Source organism: Homo sapiens, chromosome 3 (assembly GCF_000001405.40).
Source record: "Homo sapiens chromosome 3, GRCh38.p14 Primary Assembly".
NCBI classification, from domain to species: Eukaryota; Metazoa; Chordata; class Mammalia; order Primates; family Hominidae; genus Homo; species Homo sapiens.
The window spans coordinates 183,194,589-183,215,576 of NC_000003.12; the positions used below are offsets into that span (position 1 = coordinate 183,194,589).

At 40.6% G+C, this 20,988-nt stretch overlaps 1 protein-coding gene across 4 annotated transcripts in view; it reads right to left on the bottom strand.

The window, feature by feature from the left end:
* Window positions 1-20,988, bottom strand: part of MCF2L2 (MCF.2 cell line derived transforming sequence-like 2) — a 250,579-nt gene that overhangs the window by 16,548 nt on the left and 213,043 nt on the right. For 3 of the 4 annotated variants that reach the window (NM_015078.4, XM_011512585.3, XM_047447751.1), the window contains 4 exons: window positions 13,020-13,235; window positions 11,534-11,626; window positions 11,288-11,366; window positions 634-667 (listed from right to left, as the gene is read on the bottom strand). In NM_015078.4, the coding sequence (NP_055893.4) occupies window positions 634-667; window positions 11,288-11,366; window positions 11,534-11,626; window positions 13,020-13,235 (422 nt within the window). Of the gene's footprint in view, window positions 1-633; window positions 668-3,514; window positions 4,841-11,287; window positions 11,367-11,533; window positions 11,627-13,019; window positions 13,236-20,988 lie in introns of those variants that run through there. The other variant, XM_017005943.3, reaches the window with a different exon arrangement.

Genomic DNA, 20,988 nt, shown 5'->3' on the forward strand with positions numbered 1-20,988 from the left:
AAACAGCCAAAAGCAAGGGCAATTAGGGGAGGTTTCGAACTGGCAGATCTACCTCAACTGGCAATACAGCAAGCATGCACCAGAAAAGATATCCTAGCTAGCAGTGGGGTTGGGAACTGATTTAATATCCTAGGCTAGCAGTGGGGTTGCGAACTGATTTATTATTTAATTTTTTATATCTATTCATGTATTTATGCACTTATTTATTTTTGAGATAGGCTCTCGCTCTGTCACAGAGGCTAGAGTGCAGTGATGTGATCTAGGCTCACTGCAGCTTTGACCTCCTGGGCTCAAGTGATCCTCCCACCTCAGCCTCCTGAGTAGCTGGGACTACAAGCACGCCACCACCTAGGCTAATTTTTGTATTTTTTTTTGTTAGAGACAGGGTTTCACCATGTTGCCCAGGCTGGTCTCAAACTCCTGGGCTCAAGCGATCCATCTGCCTTGGCCTCCCAAAGTGCTGAGATTACAGGCGTGAGCCACTGCGCCCAGCCAATATTTTTTAAAAATTGGAAATCCCTTGTAATAAGCCAAGTGTTGGGGGAAGAAAAGCAATAAAAGCAATGACATGGACTCAATATGAAACATCCAAAGCATTTGACATGCCTTTAAAATAAAAAAATCAGTACTCACCTCGTGCTCATTTCAAACTGTGGATTTCCTTGGTCTAAAATTTTAAAAAACAAAAAACAGCACTCTCAAATTTAAGCTAATTTGAATTGATTTTACATAGTGATTTTTAAATACACATATATGCATAAAGAGAATACTATAAAAATATATAAAGGTGTGTAGGTCTTGATCATATTTTCCCAGGAATTCAGAAAACGCTGCTACAGTCCCTGGGCTCACGTGGTCCTGGCATCCTCCCCAACGTCTCTACCCCATCCTGCTGAGTTTCTGGCATGCATTGGTTCTGGGTCTGTCCAAGTTTCTACTGTTAGCTCCATTAATACTGAATTAAGGAATAAACAGTGCTCAAATGCTCATTTTTTCCATGTGAGCCCAAATTATGTGACTTGATGAGGGAAAAAATCATGAGTCCCTGGGAGAGCGATAAGAATCACATTCTTTACTAAAGTGTTGTCCCAGGTATGAGAATAACACCAGATCTCAACCTCCAGAGGCCCCCCACTGCCTCCCACAGCATAAAAGCCAAATTCCTCGGCCCGATATTTGAGGCCATCTCAATCTTTTTCCTTTCACCCTATACCTGACTCTCCCAGGCTAGGCTCAGATCGTCACTGAATGTGCTCACTTCGAGGCACCTCTGTGATTTTCAAGGTTCCTGGGCCCACCTTTTACTACCGATGTGACTGCCACATGTTGCCCAGTTGCTAGGATGGGACCGTGGCCTTGATTTCTGCCGGGACTGAGGCTTTGCCTTGTTTCCCACCCACCCTGCTGCCTGCCCCTGCACTCTTCTGGCTGGGGCCTGATCTTTCCCCGCAGTCTCCCTTCACCTCTAGATCACAGGCAGTCATGCCACAGCTGAGGAGCTTGTCCCAAACCTCAGTGCCTGCCTCCCTCCTCGGCTTCTTGTGCTGCTGTGTCTCACCCATCAGTGATGCTCTTCTCTTCCCTGCCCAAGCCCTAGCTGACTCCATAACACCTGGATACAATGTCCTCTTCTGTCTGGTTACCTCCGAGAGGCCCTCTCTCTACATCCCTCATTGGCTCCCAGTGTCATTCCTCTCACCCATGGCCCTAAGGTCACTGTATTCTTTGGCCAGTGTACAGGGTTATTATGCTTAACAATCCACAAAGGTTGAAAGGTGTTGTAGGATGGTGTAAAAATGAATCTGGGTGGTAATGTTTATATGTCAGAGCTTTGTAAAGTGCTCGGCAGGCGTAAGGTACTGACAGTCCTGATATTCCTGATCTTGGAACCTGGGACACCATCTTCTCAACATTGCCCGGATACCCTCAAGGGTATCCAGACAGCCTGAGTTTGCATTCTGTTCCTGGTTCAGCCCAGGGCCCTGGTTCCCGCTCACTCACCATCCACTGTGGGCCCTCTCTAAATTCTTAAAGCCCTTGCCATTTGCATCACTCACAGAGACATTTCATCAGAGCCTACTTGGTGCACCAGGCTCAGGAGACTCAGTTCTGCTGCGGATAAGTTATGTAAAATTGACCCTCTGCTTGCACATCTGTAAAAGGAAGGGGCTGGCACAACACCTCTGGGCCTTTCAGTTCAGTAGTGTTTTCTTTTTATCTAAACCACGTGCTGGGTCCTGGTTTTGCTTCTTATCTAGATTTTTGCATTCCTGTCACAACCTATAAAGCACAGTTCAGGCCTTAAGGAGGGCTTGAGAAATCTCTTTCCGAATTGTCAACTGAATAAGTGTCATATCTTCATAACAAACTTGTCTTTTTTTGCAGGGCCAGGAAGGCAGCAGGGGAGTCAGTTAAAATATAAATTTTAGATTAAGCTTAATATTGTTAAGAAGTCAATTCTCACCAAATTGTTCTAGAGATTTTACATAATCCTAATCAAAATCTCAATAAGGTTTTTTGAGAAGTTGGCAAGCAGATTCTAAAATATATATAGAAGTATAAAGGACACAGAATAATCAAAACAACTTTAAAAAGGAAGAACAAAATTATAGGACTCTAACTACCTCATTTTAAGACTTATTAGAAAGCAGCAGTAACCAAGATAGTGAGGGACTGATGTCAAGGTAGACAAATAGATCAATGGAAAAGAATCAGGCATCCAGAAATAGATGCACTTACATAAATCATCAATTGGAGAAAGAATAGTGTTTTTAACAACTGGCAATGGAAAAACTAGAACATCAGTATGCAAAGGACTGAACTTTGATCCATACCTCACACCACATACAAATCAAAAACAGAAACAAACAAACAAACAAACAAATACTCAAAATGGATCAGAGACCTAAATGTAAAACTATAAAACTTCTGGAAGAAAACACAGGGAGAAAATCTTTATGGCTTTTAGATAACGATTTCTTAGGCAGGATACCGAAAACATGATACATACAGTTTTTAAAATTAAATATTATAAGAATTAAAGTCTTTTGCTCTTCAAAAGTCACTCTTAAGAGAAAAAGATGCCACACACTAGAAGAAAATATTTACAAAGCATTAAAAGGACATATATCTAGGATATACATAAAAACTCTCAAAAGTCAATAATAAGAAAACAATGAGCAAAAGATTTGAACAGACACTTCACCAAAGAAGAGATAAAGATGGCAAAGAAGCACATAAAGAGATGCTCAACCATTAGTTACTAGGGAAAAGCAAATTAAAACCTAATGACATACCACTATGCCCCTATTAGAAATCTGAAAATTTAAAAGACTGACAATACCAAGTATTGGTGAGGACATGGCACAAGTGGAACTCTCATACATTACTATGGGAATGGAAGATACTATAATCACTTTGGAAACTATTTAGAAATTTCCTAAAAAATTAAACATACACCTACCATATGGCCTAACCATTACACTCTTAGGTATTTACCCAAGAGAAATGAAAACACATGTCCACACAAAGACTTGTACTTGCATGTTCATAGCAGCATTATTCAAAATAGCCCCAAAGCAGAAACAAATCGGATGTTCATTAACAAGTAAATGGATAAAGAAAACGGGGTCTAGCCAAACAATGAAATACTACTCAGCAACAACCAAAATATGTACTATTGTTTACAAAATCCAAATAGATGAATCTCAGAATAATTATGCAGAGGAGAGAAGCCAGACCAAAAAAAAAAGTACATAGTGTATTATCTCTTATGAAATTCTAGAAAATGCAAACTAACCTATAGTGACAGAAAGGAGATTGGTGGTCACCTGGGGTGGGTGAGGGAGGGGCAGGAGAAAGGGAATGCAAAGCAGTGTGAACAAACCTTTGGCGGTGATAGGCATGTTCATTATCCTTACTGTGGTGATGCCTTACAGATGTATACAGATGTCAAAACTTATCAGATTGTACACTTTAAATATGTGTGGTTTATCGTGTCATTATACCTCAGTAAAGGAGTTTTAAAAATTGTAGTAAAAGGTCTCTACCTAGAAACCTTAATAAGCTAAAATGTATGTCCCCAGGACTAACCCTAGCTATTCTATAGTTCTGGGGTGGAACCTAGAAATCTGCATTTGTAGCAAGCCCTTCAAATAATTTGAATGCAGGTGGTCCTTAAACCACCCTTTGAGAAACACTGACCTAGTGAGTAAGGATTTCTAAACAAGCTTGTGACTAGAATGTTGTTTCTGCAGGGAACAAGTGACTTTTTCTACTAGAGTTGCCATATCATTCTGTGTTAAGCCTCTAGGACACTCCTACTCAATTACCATGACATATATTTAACATAATATTAATAGTTGTAAAACAAAAGTAAACCATAGTTTTTTTCCCATCTTATCTGTATACAAAGTAAAATCAATGACATAATATTGTTACTAGTTCCTGGCAGTTACCTACAGTTTAAATCAAGAACTTATGTTGCTTGGTTTTTGTGACAGAAAACTGATGTGGTGGCTTTCCAGTTACACTGCTTGGTTTACCTTTTCCCTTATCTTATGATGCACACCCAGCTTTGCACGTTCCTGAGCAGCTGATGATCATAGAAGACCTAGAAAAAGTGTGAGCCAGTTGCATTCCTGCTATCTCTAAAGAAAAAAGTTATCTTTTCATTTTTATGTGATTTTTCTTACCCAAAATGCAAACCACTGCCAGTATAAATGATGGAAGATAGACTTTCCACATGAAACTGGCATTTCTTCACCCTAGTAACATTACCTGAGGGGAAGGTCAGAACTCAATTGATAAAGCTCGCTGTGGATTTTCCCACCAAATATCCCTGCAAACAAAGTGAAAGGATAAAGCCTGCTTAAAGATGATTTGTAATTGTTGAAAGGAGTACAGTGTGTGACATCAGTGAAAATGGTGGAGAAAAAACCCGTCCCCAAATTCTCTTCTTTGTGAAAGCATGGAAAAAACTGGCCAAAAATGGTTAGAAAATTTATTTTCAGAATATCGAAATTTTTTTTTCCTTTTTTTTTTTTTTATTATACTTTAAGTTCTAGGGTACGTGTGCACAACATGCAGGTTTGTTACATATGTATACATGTGCCATGTTGGTGTGCTGCACCCATTAACTCATCATTTGCATTATGTATATCCCCTAATGCTATCTATCCCTTCCCCCTCCCCCCACCCCACCACAGGCCCTGGTGTGTGATGTTCCCTACCCTGTGACCAAGTGTTCTCATTGTTCAGTTCCCACCTATGAGTGAGAACACACGGTGTTTGGTTTTCTGTCCTTGCGATAGTTTGCTCAGAATGATGGTTTCCAGCTTCACCATGTCCCTACAAAGGACATGAACTCATTGTTTTTTATGGCTGCATAGTATTCCATGGTGTATATGTGCCACATTTTCTTAATCCAGTCTATCATTGATGGACATTTGGGTTGGTTCCAAGTCTTTGCTATTGTGAATAGTGCTGCAATAAACATACGTGTGCATGTATCTTTATAGCAGCATGATTTATAATCCTTTGGGTATATACCCAGTAATGGGATGGCTGGGTCAAACGATATTTGTAGTTCTAGATCTTTGAGGAATCGCCACACTGTCTTCCACAATGGTTGAACTAATTTACAGTCCCACCAACAGTGTAAAAGTGTTCCTATTTCTCCACATCCTCTCCAGCACCTGTTGTTTCCTGACTTTTTAAAGATTGCCTTTCTAACTGGTGTGAGATGTTATCTCATTGTGGTTTTGATTTGCATTTCTCTGATGGCCAGTGATGATGAGCATTTTTTCATGTGTCTGTTGGCTGCATAAATGTCTTCTTTTGAGAAGTGACCGTTCATATCTTTTGCCCACTTTTTGATGGGGTTGATTTTTTTCTTGTAAATTTGTTTAAGTTCTTTGTAGATTCTGGATATTAGCCCTTTGTCAGATGGGTAGATTGTAAACATTTTCTCCCATTCTGTAAGTTGCCTGTTCACTCTGATGGTAGTTTCTTTTGCTGCGCAGAAACTCTTTAGTTTAATTAGATCCCACTTGTCAATTTTGGCTTTTGTTGCCATTGCTTTTGGTGTTTTAGTCATGAAGTCCTTGCCCATGCCTATGGCCTGAATGGTATTGCCTAGGTTTTCTTCTAGGGTTTTTATGGTTTTAGGTCTAACATTTAAGTCTTTAATCCATCTTGAATTCATTTTTGTATAAGGTGTAAGGAAGGGATCCAGTTTCAGCTTTCTACATATGGCTAGCCAGTTTTCCCAGCACTATTTATTAAATAGGGAATCCTTTCCCTATTTCTTGTTTTTGTCAGGTTTGTCAAAGATCAGATGGTTGTAGATGTATGATATTATTTCTGAGGGCTCTGTTCTGTTCCATTGGTCTATATCTCTGTTTTTGGTACCAGTACCATGCTGTTTTGATTACTGTAGCCTTGTAGTATAGTTTGAAGTCAGGTAGCGTGATGCCTCCAGCTTTGTTCTTTTGGCTTAGGATTATCTTGACAATGCAAGCTCTTTTTTGGTTCCATATGAACTTTAAAGTAGTTTTTTTCCAATTCTGTGAAGAAAGTCATTGGTAGCTTGATGGGGATGGCATTGAATCTATAAATTACCTTGGGCAGTATGGCCATTTTCACGATATTGATTCTTCCTATCCATGAGCATGGAATGTTCTTCCATTGGTTTGTGTCCTCTTTTATTTTGTTGAGCAGTGGTTTGTAGTTCTCCTTGAAGAGGTCCTTCACATCCCTTGTAAGTTGGATTCCTAGGTATTTTATTCTCTTTGAAGCAATTGTGAATGGGAGTTCACTCATGATTTGGCTCTCTGTTTGTCTGTTATTGGTGTATAGGAATGCTTGTAATTTTTGCACATTGATTTTGTATACTGAGACTTTGCTGAAGTTGCTTATCAGCTTAAGGAGATTTTGGGCTGAGACGATGGGGTTTTCTAAATATACAATCATGTCATCTGCAATTTGACAATTTGACTTTCTCTTTTCCTAATTCAATACCCTTTATTTCTTTCTCCTGCCTGATTGCCCTGGCCAGAACTTCCAACACTATGTTGAGTAGGAGTGGTGAGAGAGGGCATCCCTGTCTTCTGCCAGGTTTCAAAGGGAATACTTCCAGTTTTTGCCCATTCAGTATGATATTGGCTGTGGGTTTGTCATAAATAGTTCTCATTATTTTGAGATACGTCCCATCAATACCTAGTTTATTGAGAGTTTTTAGCATGAAGGGCTGTTGAATTTTGTTGAAGACCTTTACTGCATCTATTGAGATAATCATGTGGTTTTTGTCTTCGGAGAACACTGGAAATTAAATGATGGCTTGCAGCAATCTGGAGAGCATTTATTCAAGGAAAATGGCTGTGTCTCAGTATGACTAATGAGCTTTTTAACTTGCCCTATTTCTATCCTCCCCTTCCTTGGTGGTAGCCTTAGAAATGAACAGCCTGCAATGATAGTGAAAATCAGCAGTCTGGCAGCCATGGGAGGGGCAGAACAGGAATGGGGGAACTATGGAGCCTCATTCTTAGAGAATTATCATTATTTGATCTGTCCACGGGTTTCTAGGAATACCTGACCTGCAAGTCTGTCTTTATTAGGCCTGACTCAGAACTTGCCCAATGTGAAAAGTCTTTTCCCCAAAGGCCTTTGTAGAAAATGATTACAGGCAATTGTTTAACTTCTTGGTTGCTCGAGGTATTGGCTAACAGTGGGGCAAACATGGGCTAATCAGAAGGTTTAAAATGAAATGCTCAGGAATAAGATGCTCATAGAGGGTTGTAAAGGCTCCAAAATATTTATGAGACTCTAGAAGACCATGCACACATTTCCTGTGAACATGTTCAGGACAGATCTGCGAAGGCCCCACGATCTTACCTCTGGCTGATCTTGATGATCTGCACAAACAGAAAGTGAAAGCTAGGCTAGAACTGTCAAGTGCCAGGCTGAGTGTGAAGGTGTGCCCTAATGTGCACACAGAGCCCCTTGGCAAAGACTAGAAGACTTACTGCTTTCAGGTGTTTAAAGAAATCTCTGTCATGTCATTAGTATTTAGATCACTAAGCTAACTGAACAGAGGCTTCAATGGCTGCACATAAATACAGACTTCACAGAATTAGTTTAGAAAAGTCACTATAACAAACAACAATAAACAGCAACACCAACAAACAGTAGAGGTGGGAAGGTCCAATTTCCAGAGTTGCTACATTATGTTATTTAAAATGTGCAATTTTAACAGAAAATAATGAGACATGTAAAGAAATAAGAAAATGCAGTCCATACCCAGGGAAAAAGAAAAACCAGTCAATACAAACTGTTCCTAGGCCAGGTGCAGTGGCTCATGCCTGTAATCCCAGCACTTTGGGAGGCCAAGGCAGGCAGATCACCAGAGGTCAGGAGTTTGAGACCAGCCTGACCAACATGTTGAAACCCCATCTCTACTAAAAGAAAAATACAAATTTAGCCAGGCATGGTGGCGTGCACCTGTAATCCCAGCTACTCGGGAGGCTGAGGCAGAAGAATTGCTTGAACCCAGGAGGCGGAGGTTGCAGTGAGCTGAGATCATGCCATTGCACTCCAGCCTGGGCTACAGAGCAAGACTCTGTCTCAAAAAAGAAAAAAAAAGAAAAAAGAAAAAACTGTTCCTGAGGAAGCCAAGATACTGACTTTACTAGACCAATACTTTAACTATTTTTACATGTTCAAAAAGTTAAAGGAAATCATATATAAAGACTAAAGGAAAGCACAAGAACAAATCCTCATTAAATAGAAAATATAAAGATTTGTTTTAAAGGACGAAACAGAAATTCTAGATTTCAAAAGTATAATAATTGAATGAGAAATTCACTAGAGTGGCTGGCTCAATAGCAGATCTGAGCAGGCAGAAGAAAGAATTAGAGAACTCAGAAATAGGTCAATTGAATCTATCCAGTCTGAGGAAGAGAAAGAAAGAGGAATGAAGGAAAAATGAATAGAGCCTCAGAGACTGTGAGATACCTTCAAGCACGCTAATGACGCATAATGGCAGTCTCAGAAGGAGAGAGGGATAAATGGGCTAAAATAATATTTAAAGAAGCAATGGCTGAACATTTCCCAAATCTGATGAAAACATTAATCTATACCTTCAAGAAAGTCTATAAACTCCAAGAAATATAAATTCAAAGAGATCAAGATCCACACCTAGAGATAACATAATCAAACTGTCAACAAAGACAATGAAATTATCTTGAAAGCAGCAAGCACATAGAAGGACTCTTCAATAAGATTAACAGCTGATTTCTATCAGAAATCACAGAGTTGAGAAGGCAATGGGATGACATATTCAAAGTGCTTAAAGAAAAAGAGGGTCAACAAGGAATTCTATACCTAAAGCCAATTTATCTTCAACAAAGATGCCAAGACCATTCAAAGTGGGGAAAGAATAGTCTTTTCAATCAATGGTTCTAGGACAATGGATATCCACATGTAAAAAAAGGAACTTGGGCCCCTAATTCACATCATATACAAAAATTAACTCGGAATGAGTCAAAGGCTTAACTGTAAGAGTTAAAACTATAAACTCTTTGCAAAGAACACTATCAAGAGAGTAAAAAGACAATGCACAGTATGGGAAAAAATACTTGCAAATAATATATCTGATAAAAGTCCAGTATCCAGAATATATAAATAACTCTTACAATTCAACCATAAAATGACAAGCCAATTAAAAAACATACAAATGAGTTAACTGACATTTCTACAAAGAAGATATACCAATGGCCAATATGCATGTTAAAAGATGCTCAACATCACTAGCCATGAGGGAAATGTAAATCAAAATCACAATGAGATACTAGTACATGCCCACTAGGATGGCAATGATAATAATAATAATAATAATAATGTTATTATAATGAACAATACAAGTGTTAGTAAGGAAATGGAGAAAATTGAACCCAACTATTATATTGCTGGTGTGAATGTGAAATGGTGGTACTGTTTTGAAAGATGATTTGGAAGTTCCTCAGAAAGTTAACAAAAGTTACCATATGGTCTGGCAATTCTACATATATACACCAAAGAAAACTGGAAATAAAGATTCATACAAAAATCTGTACAAAAATATCTACAGCAGCTTTACTTACAGTATCCAAAAAGGGGAAAAACCCCAAATCTTCATCAACTAATGAATGGATAAACAAAGATGGTATATCCATACAATGGACTGTTACTCAGCCATAAAAAGGTATGAAGTACTGATAGATACTACAACATAAATGAAACTTAAAAAAATACGCAAAGTGAAAGAAGCTAGACAGAAAGGGCCATATATGTGATGTGTAGAGAAAACATCCAATAGAGACAGGAAATACATTAGTGATTGCCAGGGGCTGGGTAAAGGTGAGAGATGGAGAATGATTGCTAATTGGTACAGAATTTTTTTGTTGGGAGAGTTATGAAAATATTTTGGAAGTATAATTAGAATTAGGCTGTTAAATACTTTAAAACAAAAAACAGCTGGGCGCAGTGGCTCACACCTGTAATCCCAGCACTTTGGGAGGCCGAGGCAGGCAGATCATAAGGTCAGGAGATCAAGACCATCCTGCCCAACATGGTGACACCCTGTCTCTACTACAAACACACAAATTAGCCAGGCGTGTTGGCGCGCCTGTAGTCCCAGCTATTCGGGAGGCTGAGGCAGGAGAATCACTTGAACCTGGGAGGCAGAGGTTGCAGTGAGCCCAGATGGTGCCACTGCACTCCAGCCTGGGCGACAAGAGCAAAAACTCCATCTCAAAACAAAACAAAACAAAAAACAAAAGTAAGAAGTAAAAAAATAGAATTAGACTGGGGATGGTTATTGAGCCTTGTGAATAATCTAAAACCCACTGAATTGTATATTTTAGACAGTGAATTTGATGGCATGTTAATTATATCTTGATGTTTTAAAAAAAGTAGTACAGTGTCTGAAAGGTAGCATTGGCCATTTGAATCTCTGTTAACATTTTCTTGGGTGGCCATCAGATTTTTGATTAAAGGTGACCTTGGCAATTAAGTGGTGGGGGGAACACAACCAAAAGGGACAAACCAACACAACCACACACAATCACACAACCCCTCCACCTCCACCACAGTGGAAATCAAGCATAGGTGCTTCCAGGGACTGTGAAAATGTGGCCACAGTTGTTTTCCCAGCAAACCATTTTCTTTCACAATATCCCCAATTTGCACATCCCCCACTGAGCTGAAATCAGTATAACTCGACAGACGAAAGTCAGCAGGGGTAACCTACCTTTGATATTATTTTGTTGTTCCATCAATAATTTACTTATTTCTGAAAACCAACAGTCTCTGATTTCTTTTGAAGCTGCCTGCAATCACACATAAGAAAACACTATAAGACTACCATGAGTATTAATTGCAGAGTTTTTATTCTCCCAGTGACCGTTAGACTAATGAGATAGAAAACACTTGTCAAGTCATGGGAACACAATAAGGAAAGAGTAGAGGAGACCCATGGGGAAGGCATGAGCGTTACCTGCAGGATGTATTTCTCAAGTCCATTTCGACTGGCAATCTCAAACTTTCTATGGCTCCCCCTTCCAAGCTGGCGAATTGAAAGTGTCATCAGCTATTATAAAGAGGGAAGAGAAATGTTCTATACCATCGTTTTCTGATTTTAAAATAGTCCCTGTCAATCACTCTAATCCTTTCTATCCTTGACAGCTCTCTTCTTTCATCTTCCTTTCAAGTTTTTGCTTTCCTCTCTTAATGACTCCAAGACAGCATAAAACACAATCTGGTACAGTGTCTTCTGTCTCATCTGTTTCAGAAGGTAACACAGACTGTTAACTTTCTACTGTATCTTTATGCAGGAGGCGCTGCAGCCCTCAACCTTTCAGTGAAGAGATCATTTCTCCTTCAACGTGTATTTTACAACTTTCTACGTAATAGTAACTGAATAAGGATCTATTCAGAAACATAAATAACAAGGCCAGGTATGGTGGCTCATGCCTCTGTAATCAGTCCTGTAATTCCAGCACTTTGGGAGGCCTAGGTGGGCGGATCACCTGAGGTCAGGAGTTCGAGACCAGCCTGACCAACATGGTGAAACCCTGTCTCTACTAAAAATACAAAATTAGCTGGGCATGCTGGTGCGTGCCTGTAATCCCAGCTACCTGGGAGGCTGAGGCAGAATTGCTTGAACCCGGGAGGTGGAGGTTGCAGTTAGCCAAGATCATGCCATTGCACTCCAGCCTGGGCAACAAGAGCAAAACTCTGTCGAAAGAAAAGAAAGAAAGAAAGACAAGAAAGAAAGACAGAAAGAAAGAAAGGAAGGAAGGAAGGAAGGAAGGAAGGAAGGAAGGAAGGAAGGAAGGAAGGAAGGAAGGGAGGGAGGGAGGGAGGAAGGAAGGGAGGGAGGAAGGAAGGAAGGAAGGGGAGAAAGAAAACAAAGGCTACTATGAACAAATTAACAGCTTTAATCACAACAGCATAAATATATATGGGTGTGGCTCCTGTATGTGGGTGTGTGTGTTTCATAGCCTGAGAGCTAACTGGCTATGAAACAGTTTCTAAACAGGTGAGAAAACAATGCTTGGTGTGGGCCTGGGTGCCTTAGACCCCAAGGTCAGGACAATGCCTGCACTTAGACACAAAGATACACCGTTGAGAAGGACAAGTCTAAGATGAAATCCAGCCCATGTTCTCATCACTAAGTCTTTCAACTCTCTTTTACCTCTTTGCCTGGAAGAAAGAGGGTACTTTTACTAATTAGTTTGTCCAGACTGGCTGCCATATAGTCTTTTTTCTCTAGTACAAAGGCACTCCTATGCCAGCCCTGGCCCATAAGCTCTGACCCTGGAGTCAGACAGACCCGGCTATGGATTCTAGCCCTGTGGTGTGGTATTTGGCAAGTTAACTTCACCTCTCTACACTGCAGCTTCCTCATCTGTAAAATAAGGAAAACGATCTCTCTCTTTTCTGCATAGGGCGACTCCCAGATGCAATAGGACTCCCTTTACCTTCATGGTCTTCTTGAAGCTGTAATGAGGAGATAATCCCTGGTCCCCAGGCTCCATTCGTATCTTACAGAACACTATTCCCCTTTCAAATAGGTAGATTTGCCTCTGGCTGGGTTTAAATCGAATCAAATCCTTCATTTTATAACGATCCTTGTGAATTGTCCAGACGCTGAAAGGGCCGTGCAGCAACAGCTTGCCTAGTTTTCCAATATCGTCCTTTTGGAAACACACATACAGGAAAAGAAGCTGTAAAATTACTTGACAGAGAAAGAAGCCTTTGTGGCCTGTTTTCAAATTTTATAAAGCATGCTTCTTTGAGGTTTACAATTCTAAAAGTGCTATTCAGGCTGGTCTGTCACTAAATCAAAACGACAATTTTTTGAGCTTCACTGAGCGTGGTGCCATTTAGTTATATAAGGAAATCAATTCAGCTATGAAAGGTAATGCTATACATAAAGAATGTTAGAAATGCTTGAGCTAGAGATACGGGGACTGTGATATTTTTGACTCAATTTTAACTAGCAGAATTCAATTTCCTCTGTGCTATGTTTGATACATGACAGTCTCCTTCAAAGGGACAAGAAATTAACATTTCAATTATGTCCAGTAGAGATAGAATTTTGGCTGCATTGCGGACCCATGAGCATCTGTGTGTTCCATCTGCATCCTAACTTCTGCTTCAGGTATATGAGGACCTGAGAAAATGAAGCTTGTTCTGAAAAGAGAAAGTTTACTGTGATCTAATCTTCACAACATTGTAATGGAAATAGTAACTGCATTCAACTCTGAGTTTTTCAGAGTGAGTCAACAGTGCCAAGATAATACCAAATGACAGATTTTTAAGAAGTCTGTTTGACTCTAGGCATAAACTGTGATGCCCCTGTCTCCACCAGCAAGGCTGCCTTTGTCATATGTCTGGTTGAAAGTCCAAATGAGATGACCCTGCCTTCTCTGAGCTCTCTTCAAAAGACAGTGGACCAAGATGAGCTGGGAGCGAGGCATTTTATCTGGTATTTTTCAAAACTTCGATTGCTTAAAGCAGATAAGAATTCATTTCCCTGAATAAAAACACCAAAAGGAACAAATTATTTGAAGGGGACCAAGACAAAGAAATCTCCCTAAGTGACCTCTAGCTGAGATCAATCCCTATGATTTCTGAGTTAATACTGGAAATATGTACTTCATTCATAATTGATTGGGCATTTTTATAATTTATTGTTTATATGTTGGGCAAACTCTAGGTATCTTTTTTAAAAAGGAATTGACTTTACTTCTGAAACATTAAAAGAAAAACTTCAAGAGCAATAAACTCTAGTCATTTCTATGGTGTCTATGGCGTTATTTCCTATGTTAATTTTCTATTTTCTTCTTTGGAAAATTTACATATGTAGACTGTGGTGAATAAAACCCTCAAACTCCCAGCCACGAGGCCTTCTTTCCTAAAAGCCAATGCTCCTGTTCTGTGTTAACAGTTCACCACATTCCAAAACAGAAGGGTGGATAGGTCCATGAGGACCCTGGAGAATTTTTTCACTCTATCTGCATCCATCAAGGACCCACTCAAATGTAATCACTACAGACCTTAGTGACTGCTTTTTCCTTTAAATCCATTCAATTCATAATCAATATCGACATAAATAGTGCAGGAAATATGTTTTAGTAAAGGCAACTGGTAGAAGTAGATACTTAATATTTGCCACATAAACAAATGTTATCAGCACAGGTTGAGCATCCATAATTTAAAAAATCTGAAATCCTCCAAAATCTGGAACTTTCTGAGAACCAGTATGACACTGGAGGTGAAAAATTCCATACCTGACCACATGTGATGGGTGGCAGTCAAAACACAGTCAAAATTTTGCTTCACGCACAAAATTATTTTTTATTTTTTATTTTTTTGAGACGGAGTCTTACTCTGTTGCCAAGGCTGCAGTAGAGTGGCACGACCTTGGCTCACCGCAACCTCTGTCTCCTGAGTTCAAGGGACTCTCCTGCCTCATCCTCCCGAGTAGCTTGGATTACAGGCGTGCATTACCATGCCCGGCTAATTTTTGTATTTTTAGTAGAGCCAGGGTTTCAGCATGTTGGCCAGGCTGGTCTCGAACTCCTGACCTCTGGTGATCTGCCCACCTCAGCCTCCCAAAGTGCTGGGATTACAGGCATAAGCCACTGCTCCCGGCCTTCATGCACTAAATTATTTAAAATATGTAAAATTACCTTCAGTCTATGTGTATAAGGTGTCATGAAACATAAATGAATTTCGTGTTTACACTTGGGTTCCATCTGCAACATAACTCAGTACGTATGCAAATACTCCAATCCTCCCCTAAAAAAAAAAAAACTCCAAAACACTTTTGGCCTCAAGCATTTTGGCTAAGGGATATTCAAACTTGTAGTTTCTATCTTACAATGTATTCACTCTCTACCTCATTTTAAACATTCGACGCATCTTACAGAAATATATACAGTATAGACAGATAGAAAATAACCGAGGGAATTAAGGTGAAGAAAAAATAAAGAAGTTGGGAGCTTGGCGCCTGCCTGTAGTCGCAACTACTTGGGAGGCTGAGGCAGGAGGATCACTTGAGTCCAGGAGTTTGAGGCCAGCCTGGGCAACATAGGGAGATCACCATCCCTAAATATAAAGACAATAAATCAGATGAACTGTTCCAGAAGGTGTAGAAGATAAAAGAAAAGATGAAGAGGTTATATGTAAAATGCATATAATAAAGCCATTTAAACTTGATGTAAACTTGGCTCTGACTTTCTAATAGCAATACAGAGGGAAACATGGTGAGTGGTACGATTTATTATGTCTGAAGACATACACAAACCGGTTGTTCAGGAAAAGCACAGCTATTCCTACTAAGACATAAGAAACATTTCTCCCAGTGATATGTTGTCACTGAGCAACATCCTCAACCACGCCCTATGATAGAAAGAGGAACATGTTTTAGGTAAAGCTGCTTGTAAGAACACATTTGGTCAGTGTGGAGGCTCAGCTGTCAAAGTAATTCTAGAAGAGGCTAGGATGATAGGGGAAGGGGGAATAAGTCGAGGTGTACACTCTCTAATGACTTGTGAAGATGGGGTGACGTGAGTTAAGGCATCCACAAGGCTATTGTAGAGGAAACAGCCCCAACCAGAAATGCTGAAGAGGCAGCCTCAGGCAGCAAGGTTTGTGCTTTATTACCTCTGAACTTTCCTCATCACCCCATCCACAGCCATGCTGCTGCACCTTCATAGGCAAGTAATCAGAGGATGTGAATCCAGAGAGGTACCAGCAGCTGACCATAGGGCCCCCAGCATAAAAACAATGTGCCAGGGTTGGGGGTTGGCAATGTGATCTCTCCCTGAACTGAAGAAAACAGGAGGAAGTGGTGACCAGCAGGAGACGGGGCTGTGAGATGCTTTAGGGGAAAGCAGGCAGTGGAATAAACGAGAAGGAAACAGAACTATGAAGAAGGTGAGTCATTAGAAATTATGAGGAAGAGGAAGAAACTGACGGAAGGGAAAAAAACAGTCAGTAGGTGGTAAGAGGGGGGGCGAGCAGGCATGTGGGTGCACTTGACATATACAGGCGGGTCACACAGGTAAGAACCCCGGCTCCCTCCCCAGGCCCAGGCCCCAGAGGTGCTGTGGATCCTGGGTTTGCTCAGTTCCCATCTCCGCGAACTTGGCTTTGCCATCGTGACTTCTTGAGAAGCTGCAGGTCAGCTTTCCAGTAAGCCCATTATTACTGGAAGTGACTCGGGGGGAGTCGCTGGGTCTTTCAAGTCTGGCAGAAACATATGGGCACATATCCTCTGGGTCATGTTGCACAAATGTTCTCAGGACCACACATATGACGGTATTGCCCATCTCCACGCCCAAGGTCCGATCTCCAGCGGGTGAGCACATGCCCTACACGGTGCTGACCAAGGGCAGGCACACACACTGTTCACTGTGCTGTGTGGAGCTGCTCCGCCTCCAACAGGAAGCTGCAGGGACATTCCCTGAGCAGGAGCAAGAATGACCTTTTCCGTCACGTGTACCTTTTCTTTCCAACTAGACTGTAGTTGATCTCAAGGTCGGAGACCACGTTGCACAACCTCTTTCAGATACGTGTTCACCAGTATTTATTTATTTATTGGCATTCCCTAGTATTTATTTATTTATTGGCATTTAGTGGTGCTTGGGAGTAGGGGACAGGAAACAAAATACTCATCACTGTGAGGGAATATTGATTTATCCAAGGAGTTCATTCAGCGACGCCCCTGTACTGGGTTGAATAGTGTTCCCCCAAAAACTCATGTCTATGAGACCCTCAAAATATGATCTTATTCGGAAAGAGGGTCTTTGCAGATACAATTGGTTAAGATGGGGTTGCCCTGGGTTAGGATGGGTCCAAATCCAATGACTGGTATCCTTATAAAAAAAGAAAACAAAGAAATGGAGACGCACGCTGAGGGAACAGCCATGCAAAGGCAGAGGCAGAAATTGGAGTGGCACAGCTGTCAGCCAAGGAACTCCAAGAATTGCCGGCAGTCACCAGAAGCTCAGACGAGGTAAGGAAGGATTCTTCCTGAGAGCCCTCAGAGGGAACGTGGGCCTGCTCTCACCTTGCCTTTGGACGTCTAGCCGTCAAAACTGTGAGGGAATAAATTTCTGTTGTTTTAAGTCACGTACTTTGTGGTTCCTTGCGACATCAGCCCTAGGAAACGAATATACTTCCAACTGTTTTCCACCAGTAACAAAGAAGTGTGGCCATGTCACACGGTGTGTGGAAGAACCTGATGGTTGTGAACTCAGAGATGGAACATAGCGGCTACCTCAAATGAGCGAGCGATAAGTTAGATGGCCTCCTCTGTACAAGAAGTGATAGCAAAATCAATTAGTAAATGCTACCACTTTCACACCTGGGCATTCTGCAGGTAAGAGCCCCGATACAAGGATTTCAAATGTGACTACATTGGCCAAATGAAGAGTCTGGCTGAGAGAGTGAATCTAGGGAAGCTGGCCTCAGCAAGAGCTTCTTTTGGGTGCCCGTGTTTCCATTCCAGGTAGTAAGAGTTAATATGACTGTCACAAACTTACTGCACAAAGAAGCAGGAAACATCTGTATAAATGCGTCCACACAGAGCCTGAGTCCAGAAATGAAAAGCAGAAGCTGTGGGAGCCTGTGATTACAATAGTCAGGGGCAAAGAGGTATCTTCCTTTCCAGCTTGAGCAGGTCCCCATATAACGTACCACTAGGGCTGTTTATTCGGCATCTGTTGGGCGCCAGGCACAGTGCTTGGTGCCTTACCCATCATTTAATTCTCACTTACTCCCGGCAACCGCCTGTAATATAGGTATTGTGGGGGGGTGGGGGGGGTGGGGGGGTGGGGAATGAAGAAGATACTTTGCCTGGGTCACTAGGATTATTTACTTAGCCCTATCTCTGCAGCTAACACTGTGGTAAGGAAAGAGGAAACTGAAATAGAAATAAAATCCTGGCCCTAGCTCACAATGAACTTACAATACAAGTACATCCTTTAGTGGTTTATATAAATTTGTTCCAAAAAGGAAGACTGTTTCATTCAATCTTTACAAGTCAACTTTGGAACTTATCCCTGGCAAGTCAGAATTTAAATGCATCTCTAATATGCATTGGATTTGAAAAAAAAAAAAACTTTTGTTTTTTTTTTGCAAATAGATAGAAGTAAATTATAACTCAGTGTTCCACAAAACAAACTTGTTTGGAAAAGAATTTTAAACTTCTGTGATTAAATTAGACCCAGGACTAATTGAGTACACAGAAAAACAAGAAAATATAAATATCAGAAGGGATTTTTTTCTAGTTGCTTTCTAGTTGTTTAATTGTGATAATTTAATTATCACATTCAATTTCTTTCCTTTATAAAACCAGGTTAATATTAAATTTCAAGCAGAGAAACTAAGAGGTTAAACTGGACTCAGCCATGCATATAGCTGTAATTTATTACAGGTGATCATAAACACCTGTAATAAAACTCTACAAAATGGAGACAAAGAATCTCAGAATCATTTGAGCTGAGTTAGAGGCAGTTGTCAGTCAATTCTAATCAGAAACAGATAAAGAGTGGAATAGCACCCTGATAGGGAATGAACAAGAAATAGTCCAAGGTGACAGCCATGTAATCTTGAGTGAGTTAACTCTTCTTTCCATGGATCTTCTTTTGAATCAGAAGGTTGAAAATTCCAATATCTACTCCTCCATAATTCAACAGGATTATACAAAACTGTCAGGAGAAATTAGCTGATGTATTAGATGTAAAAGTAAGTTAAGTCTTAGTAGAAAAGGTACCAAAAAGCATCTGGCAGAGGCACAATTCTGAGGACACATGGTCAAAAAAGGTCCTTTGCTTTTTGCGTGTAAAATCTCCAAATTCTGTAAGCTGGTTCATCCTATTTGCATGCAAACTGGCTGGGAATGAAATTAGGGCAGAATGTTATTTGCTCATGTTTTAACCATTCTTTTCTCACAGCCTCCTCCTCCTATGTTATTTACACTGTTTCCTGCCCTGTGTATTGTTTCCAGGACATTCATTAGATTCAGGGAAATGAAATTTAATAGGGATGTCTAATACGTAATTCAAGATTTAAAAAGGAACAGAAAGATGCCCTGGATTGACCTAACAAATTGTTCCCTTGACTTTCCTCAGGCGAAGAAAGAAGAATTATTACCAAGAAAATGATCCTTATACACACCCTAACCCTACTCTGCAGTTTATGCATATCCTCTTGAATCATGCATCAGTTGTCATCAGAGACACCTTGGAGTCCCAGGGGACAGTAACAGCATCATGGCTGGGATCACAGCAAACCCCATGGGGCTAAGTTTCTGAGATCCAGGCCCAAGAAATACCAGCGTGGGAAGTAAAAATAACTCATTTTTCGGACCTTAATAACTTTCATGGTTTGATTTATGACAAGGAAAGAAAAGTCATTTCCTCTACCAAGACCTCAATACATGGTATGTTCAAAACCAAATAAAAATGAAAAGAAAAAAAAAGAGAAGGAAAAAGTATAATATAATCACAAGTGACAAAAACGCAGAAGAGGGGGTCACAGAGATGTGATGTAAGAAAAACTTGGCCGGGCACGATGGCTCTCACCTGTAATCCCAGCACTTTGGGAGGCGGAGATGGGTGGATCACGAGGTCAGGAGTTCGAGACCAGCCTGACCAACATGGAGAAGCCCCGTCTCTACTAAAAATACAAAAAAAAAAAAAAATTAGCAAGGTGTGGTGGCAAGTGCCTGTAGTCCCAGCTACTCAGGAGGCTGGGACAGGAGAATCGCTTGAACCTGGCGGGCAGAGGTTGCAGTGAGCTGAGATCATGCCATTACACTCCAGCCTGGGCGACAGAGCAAGACTCTGTCTCAAAAACAAACAAACAAAAAGAAGAAGAACCCAACCTGCCATTGCTGGTTTGTGCTTTATTACCTCTGCTCATAGAAGCCATGAGCCATGGAGCGTGGGTGGCCTTTTTAAGCTGGAAAATTCCAGGAGACAGATGCTAGACTCCAAAAAGGAAAGGAAACACCTTGATTTTAGCCCATGAGACTGTGTTGAACTTCTGACCTTGGAACTTCAAAATAATAATAATAATGAATTTGTGCTGCTCTAAGCCACCAAGCTTATGGTAATTTATTATGACAGTGAAATAAAACAAACACATCTGAATAAAAATCTAGAGTACTTCAAAGTAAAAAACAAAACAAGTCGAATATTAACTATGCTCCAGTCTCAAAGAGATCATACAGTTATAGGGGATGTTTTGCCTGGAATGCCTGGGACCAGCCTGCTCCGGATTAACACTGACGCTGGAGCTCAACTCCCCAGCATTGGCCTCTAACTGCATCTCTTGGGTTTTCTTTAGACTATTTGGATTAATGCATGTACACTATATACTTTTGGGGCCTCTTCTGGGATCTGTGATATAAAATTGGGGCAAGAATATAGG